The 12,693-nt window shown below is 40.9% G+C and overlaps 1 protein-coding gene across 3 annotated transcripts in view; it reads right to left on the reverse strand.

Annotated features, from left to right (window-relative positions):
- The window catches only part of SLC36A2 (solute carrier family 36 member 2), a 32,588-nt gene that overhangs the window by 11,106 nt on the left and 8,789 nt on the right, over positions 1–12,693 (reverse strand). For 2 of the 3 annotated variants that reach the window (NM_181776.3, XM_005268377.5), the window contains exons 6-7: positions 9,252–9,470; positions 7,147–7,245 (exon numbers count right to left, since the gene is read on the reverse strand). In NM_181776.3, coding sequence (NP_861441.2) covers positions 7,147–7,245; positions 9,252–9,470 — 318 coding nt within the window. Of the gene's footprint in view, positions 1–6,351; positions 6,449–7,146; positions 7,246–9,251; positions 9,471–12,693 lie in introns of those variants that run through there. The other variant, XM_017009083.3, reaches the window with a different exon arrangement.

Genomic DNA, 12,693 nt, shown 5'->3' on the forward strand with positions numbered 1-12,693 from the left:
TGAGGGTAAGGAGGAGGAAGGAGATAAAAAGAAAGGCCTGGAGTCATCTGATGAGCCCTGGACCCTTAAGAGCTGGAAGGGCCACTGAGGTTTTATCCAGACCAAAGATCTCAACACTCTGGGGCAGCTAGATCTGGCCAGCAGATGCGTTTTGTTTTGACAGCACAGTCTTTCGACAATTGAATATGAATGCCTTTAGGCACAACATTCTTTTCCCATTCACCAGGCCCACCTCCCCTCACCCCCACCTACCAGTGAATTATACCTGCCTTCCAAAGGCATTTGGGTTTGAAACTCCTAATTCCTGTGCAGACTCCCTCCGCCAACCCCATCACTGTACAGTGGGGAGGCTGAGACTCCAGGAACACAGGGTGCTGGTGGCAGCTGGGACCAGAGAGCGCTTCCTGGTTCTGCCAGCAGTGCATTTCCCCACACCCCAGGTTCTCACTCTTCTGTTCTCAGAATCCTTCTTCCCCTAAATGCATACCTGGTTCTAAGAGAATCCAAGTTGAGGCCAGTCTGCCTCTTGCCGGTTGGACATTTGAAGGTCTCTTCTGTCTTTGAAACCAATCTTCCTGTCTCTCATCCCATAATTTCCTCCTCAGGCTCTTATTGTCCTGGAGACCACCCCCACCTTCTCCTACTCCTTGTTCAGGCTGTGTGCTAAGCATTCTCTACATGCACTATTTAGCTGATCTGTTTTCTTATCTGAAAACGGGCTCAAATGAATTTACCTTTTTTTTTTTTTCTTTTTTGGAGAGTCTCACTCTGTCACCCAGGCTGGAGTGCAGTAGTACAATCACAGTTCACTGCAACCTCTGCCTCCCGAGCTCAAGAGATCCCTCCCATCTCAGCCTCCTGAGGAGCTGGGACTATAGGCATGTGCTGCCATGCCCGGCTGATTTTTGTATTTTTTTTGTAGAAACAGAGTTTTGCCATGTTGCTCACACTGGTCTTGAACTCTTGGGCTCAAGCGATCCTCCCACATCGGCCTCCCAAAGTGCTGGGATTACAGGCGAGAGACATCACATGTGGCTGAATTTTGCAAATTTTGTAGAGAATTACACAAGCACCATAATGGCACAGTTAAGGGCTTAGTAAATGTTGGCGGTTGTTATTTTTTAATACTGTGAAGACCGTAACTCTATGAAGTCGGTACCTCCATAATTCTTGTTTTACAGATGAGGAAAACAAGGCTCTGAAAATGAGATAACTGATCCCAAGTTGCAGAACCAGAAAGTGTCAGATTCAGGTTGTAGACCAGGGCTGTTATCCAAAGTCCAAGTACCTGCTTCTACTCCTATAGCAATGGGTATATTTGTTACTAAGGAATTTAGCATCTTTTCCCTTGTACTGTTGAATTCTTTTCTGTCGTACATGCAAACTTCCAGCCCTGAAACTCCCTAACCCTCTCTCTATTCCAGGCATTTGGAAGATGCTTGAGGGCAGTGTCATGTTGGGTCCTCCCCATGCCTTTCCACTTTCTTCTGGATTAGGTCTCGTTGCAGCAGGTGCTCAGGAGGATGTTTGATGATTATACAATAATTGTATGGAGAGCAGACAATCCAACCTGAGCTCTTGCACCCTGTAACACAATTTTGCTGCATATATTCTCAAGGCCAAAAATGATCTTTTCACAAGGCCTGCTCAGACTGGGTAGCTGGCTTCCTTTCTTTCTCTCTCTCTCTCTCTCCACAATCAGTCAGTCAAAGAGATAAATGGCTGTTGACGTACAGTGGGAAGGTCCCTGGATGGAGAGTCAGACGTACTAGGTTTTATTCACATCTGCACAGTTCCTAGCTGGTGATCTAACTGAAGTCACCTTCTCTCTCTGGGGCTCTCCCTCTTCTGTAAAATTGGAGACTGGGCTAGCAGAGTTCTTCTTAAGATAATTTCAACTAATACTAAGAATCACAAGCACATAATAGGCATTCAAGAAATACTTACTGAACAAATATTGTCATCAGTTTAGAGGTGGAGAATTAGAGTTCAGAGAGTAGCCCTGGCCAAAGCAAGATTCCAGCACATTCTGCCTCCAAAGTTACCTGCTCAACTGCTGCACTCTGCTTTTGTCCATGACTATTCCAAATTCTAAAAACAAAGTGCTTCCAGTTCCATCTAGATGAAGTAAGCACACTTCACAATATCTCTTTCACTAATACAACTAAAAATCGTGGATGAAATACATAAAGCAATTATGCACAGGTCCTGAAGAGTAAATAGTAGCAGGCAGAATGGGGAAGGAAATCAAAAAGAAAAAATGACTGTCATGGTGGTGAGTTTCCTGATTTTCTTCTTCCCATACATCCTAGTTTTTAACCTCAAGGGACACCCAAATCTTAGAACTATGCGGTGCATACAGACAGAAAATAACACCAAGAGAAACTTCTTTTTGGACAGATGACTTAGAATAGGGTCCCCTGTGGGATGAAGAGCGTGGAGAGAATCTCTATTTTTCTGTTTCTTTGTTTTATCTCCAGGCCATGACCTCAAGGCAAGTCCTAGTCACTAAGCAGCATTCTGGTGTATCAGTGGCTGTAGTGGTCACACAGGCACCTAAAAATCTGAGATAGAAATCCTTATCTCTACACAGAAGTACTAGGAAAATTGGCTTTAGGAGTCTGAAGAGTGTGGGAAATCAGTACTGGCTACCTAATTTATGGGCCCCAGTACAAAATGAAAATGCAGGGTTCCTTGGTGAAAGATGGTTCCAGCAGAGTGTTAAACTAAGTGTGAGATTCTTCTGAAGGTTGGACCCTATGTGGCTGCATGATTTGCCTGCTCACGAAACTGGTCCAGGAAAGAATCACTATTGTGCTTTTTCTTTCTCTTTTCACTCATTGCTCAACCCCAGAGGCAGACTTGGTCACAGGAAGTACATGACAGTGTAGGAGGCTAAAAGCCTAGATTTCTAGCCAGAGGATGGGAAAAAGAACCCACTGCGAGCTGGCGAGTGTGCGGGAAAACACAGAGAAGAGGAAACTGGAAAAAGCAATCTCCTAAAATCTGTGAATAATATCCTGGGCCCAGCCCTGAGCTGTACATATGTGGAACTGATGGGAAGCATCAAAGCAAAGGCTTTGAAAACTGAACTACTGTGTAGAGTCCTGTCTGCCAATTGGCACTGTGTAGCACATGAGCAGGGTAGAGCCAAATATCACTTCATGGGCTTTGAAAACTAACTGGATATTGGAACCATGGCCCACAGAAGGTGAGCAAGGACTTATGAGCTGAATCTAACTAGGTAGATGGTTTGCTAAAACCAAAAATCAGCATTCTGAAGAGTCTCCTAAAATAATATTCAAAATGCATAGGATACAGTTTAAAATTATTCAGCCTACAAAGAACCAGAAAAATCTCATCAACTTTCAAGAGAAAAGACAACAGATGCCAACCTTAAGATGACTCAAATGTTGGCAATATTAGGCAAAGACTTTAAAGCAGGTAATATAACCGTACTCCAAAAAGTAAGGGAGAACGCTATTAAAATAAATGGACAGATACAAGTTCTTAGCAAAGTAGACACAATGTAAAAGAAACAAATGGAAATATTATAACTGGAAAATAAGAAAAATTTAAATAACTGACTGTAGGGGCTTGATAGCGGAATGTAGATAACAGAAAACAAACTCAGTAAATTTGAGGATAAACAGGAATGACAAAATCTGAACAACAAAGAGCAAAGAGATTTTTTTAAAAAAATGAATAGAGCCTCAGAAACCTGTGGGATATACAGTTGACTCTTGAACAACATGGGTTTGAACCGCGCAGGCCCTCAAATAGGTGGATATTTTCAACCAAATGCACATCAAAACTGCAGTATTCATGGGCTGCAAAACCTGTATGTATGGAGGGCTGACTTTTCATATACTCAGGTTCTGCAGGGCCACCTGCAGGACTTGAGTAGGCACAGATTGGTTATACACTGGGTGTGTGTGTTTAGGGGGGTGGGGGAGCGGGGTCCTGGAACCAATGTCCTATATATGCTAAGCGATGACTATATATCAAAAAGTCTAGCATTCAGGTTATTGGGATCTCCGATGGAGAAGAAAAAGAGATTGGTGAAGAAAAAACCTTTGAAAAAAATAATGGCTGAAATTAGGTAAATTAGGTAAAAGACAAACTTTTACAGATTCAAGAAATCTCGTAGAGGGCAAACTCAAAGAAACTATATTAAATATAATACAGTATAACTGCTGATTAAAGAAGATTTTAAAAAGTTATGAAAGCAACCAGAGAAAAACACATAGGAGAACAAGGATTCAAACAATTGCAGATTTCTCATCAGAAACCACTGAGGGCAAAAAGAAAGGAAGTCATATTTTCAAAATGATGAAAAAAATTGTCCACCTAGAATTCCATATTGTGCAAAAATATCCTCTAGGAATAAAGGCAAAATAAAGACAATCTCAGATCAAGAAAATGAAGATAATTTGTCACTAGTAGACCTGCTTTAAAAGAAATGTTAATGAAGGTTCTTCATGCTGAAGGGAAATGATGCCAGAAGGAAATGGGATTTCAAGAATAAAGAAAGAGCGACAGAAATGGTAAATATCTGAGTAGATATAATAGCCTATTTTTTCCCTAGTAAGTTTATTACAAGGACTATGCATGACTATTGAAAGCAAAGATGATAACATTGTTGGTGTTTCAGTGTGTTTAGATACATAAGGCAATACAACATAAAGGCGGAAGGGCCCTATGTAATTGTAAAATTTTGACAGTTTACTAGCAATGATAAAATATTATCTCACAGTAAATTGTGAAAACGTATATTATAGTACCTAGATAAACTACTAAAAGTACTATAGAAAAAGATATAGCCAAAAAGTCAATAGGCCAATTAAAGTGGAATACTATAGAACTATAGTAATCAAAACTGTGTGGTTCTGGCATAATGGTAGACTTATGATCTTATAGACCAATGGAATAGAATTGAGAGTACAGAAATAAACCTATACATCAATGGTCAGTTGATTTTTGACAAGAGTGTCAAAACTATACAATATGGAAAGAATAGCCTTTTCAACAAATTGTGCTGGGATAACTGGATAACCACATATGAAAACATGAAGTTTGACCCTTACCTCATACCACATACAAAAATTAACTGAAAATGGATAAAAGACCTACATGTAAGAGCTAAAACCATAAAACTCTTAGAAGAAAACTCTGAGGTAAATCTCTATGACCTATGATTTCTTTCTTTCTTTCTTTCTTTCTTTTTTTCTGTTTTTGTTTCGTTTTGTTTTGTTTTAAGACAGGGTCTTACTCTGTCACCCAGGCTGGAGTGCTGTGGTACAATCATAGCTCACTGCAGCCTTGAACTCCTGGGCTCAAGTGATTCTCCTGCTTGGTTTCCTGAGTAGCTGGGACTACAGGTGTGTGCCACTACACCCAGCTAATTAAAAAATTTTTTTTTGCAGAGACAGGGTCTCTGTATGTTGCCCAGGCTGGTCTCAAACTCCTGCCCTCAAGTGATCCTTCTGCATCAGCCTCTTAAAGTTCTGGATTAAAGGTGTGAGCCACCATATCTAGACATGACCCTAGATTTTGCAATAGATTCTTAGACATAAGACAAAAAGCACAACCAGAAAGATAGAGGATAAATTGGAATTTATCAAAATCAAAAACTTTTGTGCATCACAGTTCACTATCAAGAAAGTGAGAAGCCAGGTGTGATGGACTGTGGTCATGCAACTATAATCCCCACTACCTGGGAGGCTGAGGCAGGTGGATCACTTGAGCCCAGAGATTAAAACCCACCTTGGGCAGCATAGCAAGATCCCATCTCTCTTTTTTTTTATGGGACAGAGTCTTGCTCTGTCACCCAGGCTGGAGTGCAGTGGCGCCATCTTAGCTCACTGCAACTTCCGCTTCCTGGGTTCAAGTGATTCTCCTGCCTCAGCCTTCTGAGTATCTGGGATTACAGGTACATGCTGCCACTCCCAGTTAATTTTTGCATTTTTAGTAGAGACGGGGTTTCACTATGTTAGCCAGACTGGTCTAGAACTCCTGACCTCAAGTGATCTGCCTGCCTCGGCCTCCCAAAGTGCTGAGATTACCGACGTGAACCACCGCGCCCGGCTCCATCTCATTTTTAAGAGGAAAAAATTTAAAAGGAAAAAAGAAGAGGAGAAGACAAGAATAAGAAAAAATATTTGCAAACCATTTTTCTGATAAGGATTTTGTATCTGGAATATATAAAGAACTCTTAAAACTCAACAAAAAGACAAACAGCCTAATTAAAAATAAGCAAAGGACTTGATGTTTCTCCAAAGAAGATGTGCAAATTGCCAACAAGCAAATGAAAAGATGTTCAATGTCAAAAACCTGTACACAAATGCTTACGGCAGTATCATTCATGATTGTCAAAAACTAGAAACAACCCAAATGTTCTTTGACAGGTGCGTTGATAAGCTGTGGTACTGCCCAGACAGTGGACGCTCTGCAATAGAAAGCAAGGTGTTATTGATGTGTGCAACAGCATGGACGAATTTAAAATGCATTAGGCTAAGTAAAAGAAGCCAGTCTCAATCTCATACATACTGTATGATCCCATATATGTGACATTTTGGAAAAGAGAAGACAGTACAGGCAGAGAACAGAAGGAGAATTGTTCTGCATTCTGACTTTGGTGCATTTATTCCTCTACATGCTTCTTGAAACTTACAGGAATGTACACCAAAAAAGTGAATGTTACTGTATGTACACTAAAAGTAACTTTTAAAAATATATAAACAACACTACCCTTCCACAAGTGTGGAAGTAGAGACTACAGACTGTAAATACAGAACTTTCCAGGTTAAAACTCCTTTATGTTTAATCAAATCCTTTAAATTGGACACCATGGTTCTTCTTGATTTTAAAAGATTAGGAAACTCATGTCGATAGGAGGATAGATGTTTAATAGGCATGTGGGGACAAAAATAAAACTGTCTCCTGACTGCCTCTCTGTTGTAATCAACTTTTCTCTTGCTGGTGACAACTGTCCCAAGTAAGGCCAGAGGTTACTTTCTCCCATGGGCATTTTCTAGCAGGCCCAAAACAATGGCCAGCGGGACACAGAAACCCAGAGCTCACAGTTCCTTTCTAGAAGGTCACTCACAAGCACTAGGGATAAGGCCACCTCAATTCAAACCTTACCACACCAATGCTTTCAAAAGAAAAAATGGCTGTTCCGAAGAAGAGAGGGTAGGTCTTCCAGCTTGCTACCAGTGGCAACCGGCTGGGGTCTGGGATTTCCTAAAGAAGAAAGAAATGCTATGAGACAGTCACTCTTAAAGCACATTTGAGCTCCTTTAAGAGAAGGGTACTCTGAAATGAGACCTGAATTTTTTAAAATTGAATATCAAGAAGTTTAGAAAACTTCAAAGGGATGTAGGCCACGATCAAAGTTGATTTCAACACTGCACAATGCCAAAGAGCCAGAGGACGGTATTGTCAAAGTACTGAAGGAATAGTATTTCATGGAGGGAGTTTGGTTTATGAAAAACCTCCAAAAGGGCCGGGTGCAGTGGCTTAACCTGTAATCCCAGCACTTTGGGAGGCCAAGGCAGGCAGATCACGAGGTCAGGAGTTCGAGACCAGCCTGGCCAACATGGTGAAACCCTGTCTCTACTAAAAATACAAAAATTAGCCGGGCGTGGTGGTGGGCGCCTGTAGTCCCAGCTACTCTGGAGGCTGAGGCAGGAGAATGGTGTGAACCCAAGATCGCACCACTGCACTCCAGCCTGGGTGAAAGAGCGAAACTCCATCTCAAAAACAAAACAAAACAATCCTCCAAAAGAAGACCTTACACACCACAGATTAGCACTGACCCAACGAGCCCACGAACACCTTTGAATGGACAGTGGTCATGGGTGTTGGAAATTCCTGTGACTGCAGTCATAGTAATAATCTAAGGAGCCCAAAGTATGAGTTAAATATGAAAGATCCATTTTTTTCTTTAATGAGCTGTAAATTGAAGGGGAGAAGACTGTGTAGAATAAATATTCTATATACCTTGTGACCCAGAATGTGAAAATGATGACAGAGCCATTTTTCTAACTGGGCAACCTTTGGAATTGTCCAAAAATGTATTAAAGGTAGCTATTTCTTTAGGAAATTCAATTTTATAGAATTCATCAGTGTCTTCTAAGGTATGTGAGGCTGATCTGCAGTTATTCTAAAATGTTTGACTATTATTTTTACTAAATTTCACGGACAATGTAACTTTTTTTCTCTTGTGGCTTCTTAAAGGGAAGAACATCTGGAATTTATTAAATATGCCAAGGGGCTTCTGAGACTTAACTTTCTATGTAGTGTTGTCTATTATAAAAGAAGAATTAGGCTGGGCGTGGTGGCTCATGCCTGTAATCTCAGCACTTTGGGGGGGCCAAGGCGGGGGGATCACTTGAGGTCAGGAGTTCGAGACCAGCCTGGCCAACATCGTGAAACTCCGTCTCTACTAAAAATACAAAAATTAGCCGGGTGTGGTGGCTGGTGCCTGTAGTCCCAGCTACTCGTGAGGCTGAGGCAGGAGAATCGCTTGAACCCGGGAGGCAGAGGCTGCAGTGAGCTGAGATTGTACCGCTGCACTCCAGCCTGGGTGAAAGATCGAGAGTCTGTCTCAAATAAATTAATAAGTAAGTAAATAAATAAAAGAAAAATTAGAAAGGATAGCAAATTAGGAAACTGACAGAAAATCAATGTCCATAATTCAACATCAAAGACATTATAACTAACATTATAATAGATTTGCTTATAGTTTTTTTTTAAATTAGTAACAAGACACTTATTGAAAGCTTATGGTTTTTGAGACTCTCTATGTATATCTCTGTGACTAAATATTAGATTTTTTTTTTCTTGCCTTCCTATTGGGTACCTGAAATTGTACCCTATGGGTAACGCAATAACTTTTAGCTGTAGTACAAGAATCTGTTTTCGCCTGCCTTTTGCTGCCAGCCAACCATTATAGGAATGGTCTACAGTTCACCAACCAAGATGTTTTCCTTGCAAGCACATTTTTTTAAAAAAGCCAGAATTTGACATAAAAATAGATATTTGGAGAAAGAACATGAACAAGGAGACAATCAGAAGAATGGGACTGCACGGAGACATCCTTGTAGAAGAAATGCTACAGTGAGATGCATGTCTCTCATAACACTCTTACCCACCTACAGGGTTGGCTCCAGGTATCTAAAGCTCAGTCTATCCTTGATAAAAAAACCCTGCCCAGTGGAGTGGGCAGGTGCATGGTGTGCACTCACCTGGGTAATGTACTGTATGATGATGACCAAGCTGACCAGCATGCTGATGTTGGCCAGCATGGAGAAGATGGTCAAGATCCTGAGGTTCCGGATGAGGACCAGCAGCACCAGGAAGGGCAGGAAGGAGAGCATGTAGAGTCGCGAGTCCATGGTGGGGGTCAGAATCACCGTCTCATTGGAATAGCAGTTGTTGGTTGTGCTATTAACAGCTTCCACTACCTGAGGAAGGAATGGGAGAGGCAAAAGGGGGAGATGATGAGTCTTCTAACCTCATGGTTGACTCAGTGCCTTGCCCCTAATCAAATTCCCTCACAGTGAATGGGAGTGTCCCACAGTGCCAAATCTCACGGTGAGTTAGGGTGAATGTAGAACTTATTCTAAACCCTCTACACCATACTACCTCAGAAGAGGCTGTACATGCTGGTTGCAGTGGCTCACGCCTGTAATCCCAGCACTTTGGGAGGCCGAGGCAGGTGGATCATTTGAGGTCAGAAGTTCGAGACCAGCCTGGCCAACATCGTGAAACCCCATCTCTACTAAAATACAAAAATTAGCCAGGTGTGGTGGTGCATGCCTGTAATTCCAGCTACTCAGGAGGCTGAGGCACAAGAATCGCTTGAGCCAAGATCATGCCACCACACTCCAGCCTGGGCAACAGAGTAAGGCCCTGTATCCACAAAAAAAAAAAAAAGTTGTAAAAATAGTTAAAAAATAAGTGTAACACAAAATAAATAACTGGATTCGCAGTGGCTATTTGTTAGCTTTTAGCAACTAGTATCCATTTCTCCTGATACCAATTTGATTTTGGTGAGTTCTTTCTTGTCATTGAATGCAGCCTTTGAGGACTGTAAATCACAGTCATGTGGCATAGCTAGGGGATTAGCCTTTGACTCAAGCTGGGGCATTCAGACCCTCTTCCAGGAATCTGAATGTAAACCTAAAGCATAGGGACCTAAGGACGGACTAGAAAAGGGTAAAGATTAATTCCGATAGTGGAGGCTGCTCACTAGTTCTTCCATCTATATCCTCCTCGCTACCCTGGCTCCTGTTCTTCCCTCAGATCTGCTTTTTAATTTAGTGGAAGGTAATATCCTTCCATGGAACTTATTTTCTGCTTAAATTCCCTCAATCTTTTTTTTTTTTTTTTTTTTTGCGTATAATAAAAAAAGTCTATCACTTACTGTTTCCTAATTAACATATACGCTTACTGATTCCTAATTGACACAATACTGGCATTTTAAGTAAGAAAACTCTTTCTTGTGTGGATTGGACCATTCATTGCAGAACATTTAGTAGCCCTGGACCCCACCCACTGAAAGCCATGAGCATGCCCAATCATTGTGATAAACAAGAAACCGTCCCCCACCCCCCCACACATTATGAACACCCCCTTGTAAAGTCAGGGGTAGGTGGATGCTACCACCCTCCATTTAAAGTCAGCATGACCTAACTGATACAGTCTTACTGGACAAGCAATACAAATCACTGCAGAACGATTAGGAACTAGAGTTCAGCAGGAGGAAAACACAAATGCATTGATAATCTCAGTATCAAGATGCTAACATCTTGGAGGATACTCATCTATATATTTTCTATACAATATCACAAATTACATATATTATACACATTCTTTTTATTTTACAAGACTTCAATCATAGCATTCACTCTTTTCTTTTGAAATGTCCCTTGCACTTAACAATACACTGTGGATACATAAATGAATCATTTAAGTATTGATTTTTTTCTGATTCCTCACTACAATTGGAAAAATAGCTGGAACATTAGTTACGTACTCAAGGCCCTCCATAAATGGGCCCTATCAAACCTTCAAGGTTTCTTCCTCTCCCATGACCTACTCTTCCTCCTTGAACCAATTGTATTGCTTCTCCTGGGCAATCCCATATGTTCCTGCCTCCCGGTTTTCACTGATTCCTTCTCCCACCTTGGCTGCCACCACTTTTTTTCTCTAACCTGTCAATACCCAGCTCAGATGCACCACCCCCCGGAGGAGGCTTTCCCTGCTCCAGTGATCTCTGCAATGTAGTTTGCACCCTGACCTCACGTTGTTGTTGTTAGTGGCATCCTGGCCTGACACCAAAATATCATATTGATATTTAACTTATTAGGTTTTAGAACACACTCTACTTGGCTGTAAACTCCTTGATACAGTGTTTGCCTTGATAATAAATGCAGATGATAAATAAATGCAGGTAACAATAAATGCAGATGATAAGTATAGGTCTGTACATGTCAGATTGCTTTCTAAAGAGCAATCTGGCAATGTTTTAAGAGCCTTCAAAACAATCAAACTCTTTGACTCAGTAATTTTACCTTAAGAAACATTAAGGAAATAAAGAAGTGCACAAAGACTTTTGTGCCAACAGATGATAGTAGAGAAACAAAGGGAAATAAGGGAAATGTCCAGCAATAGAAGATTGATTAGGTTATGATCAATCTGTGTGATGGAATATTATGAAACTATTAAAAATTACATGACTAAATATAAGGATATTGCAAAATACTGACCAGTTAAGGTTACATTAAATTATAACCATGAATAGTTGGATTAAGAATTATTTTATTTTATTTTGTTTTCTTTGCAGAAATACAGCATAGGTTTAAGAACTTGAGCACTGGTGTCAGAAGGCCTGGGTTTTTAACTCTGGCTCTGTGACCTTACATACATTACAGAGTTTATAATCTCAGTTTTCTCGTCTGCAAAATGGGAATAACCACAGTACCTGCTCTAATAAGGTCATGGAGATAATTCAATGATGGAAAGCATGTAAAATGCTCAGCACTGTACCTGACATAATAGAAGCTAACTCTGAAAGCTTACTACATTTTTCTTCTAGCTAGTTTACATTTTTGAATTTCTGGTATTACTGCTATAAGCAGAAAAAGAGCCCTAAAGAATAGTTTTCTTTTTAAACTTACTGATTAAGGATGGCCTCTGCTATTACCCATATTATTTTGCTCAAATTGCTGTAAGAGAATTTCTAGGTTAGATCAGAAAGAATTCCTAGGGACAATAACTATTAAGCCATAGATTAAGTAGATGGCCCAAGGCTGGATGTGGTGGCTCATGCTATAATCCCAGTACTTTGGGAGACAGTGGGAGGCTCACTTGAGCCCTGGAGTTTGAGGCCAGCCTGGACAACACTGCAAGGCCTCGGCTCTACAAATAATAAAAAAAAATTAGCCAGACATGGTAGCACACACTTGTGGTCCCATCTACTTGGGAGGCTGAGGTGGGAGAATCACTTGAGCCTGGGAGTTTGAGGCTGCAGTGAGCTGTGATCTCACCACTGCGCTCCAGCCTGGGTGACAGAGCAATATCCTGTCTCAAAAAGAAAAAAAAAAAGAAAGAAAGATGACCTAAAGAAGACTAGGAATCATCAAAAGAAGACCCATATCAATTTTAGAAGCGTTAAGTATAATT

The sequence above is a fragment of the Homo sapiens genome, chromosome 5, assembly GCF_000001405.40.
Source record: "Homo sapiens chromosome 5, GRCh38.p14 Primary Assembly".
Lineage (NCBI taxonomy): Eukaryota > Metazoa > Chordata > Mammalia > Primates > Hominidae > Homo > Homo sapiens.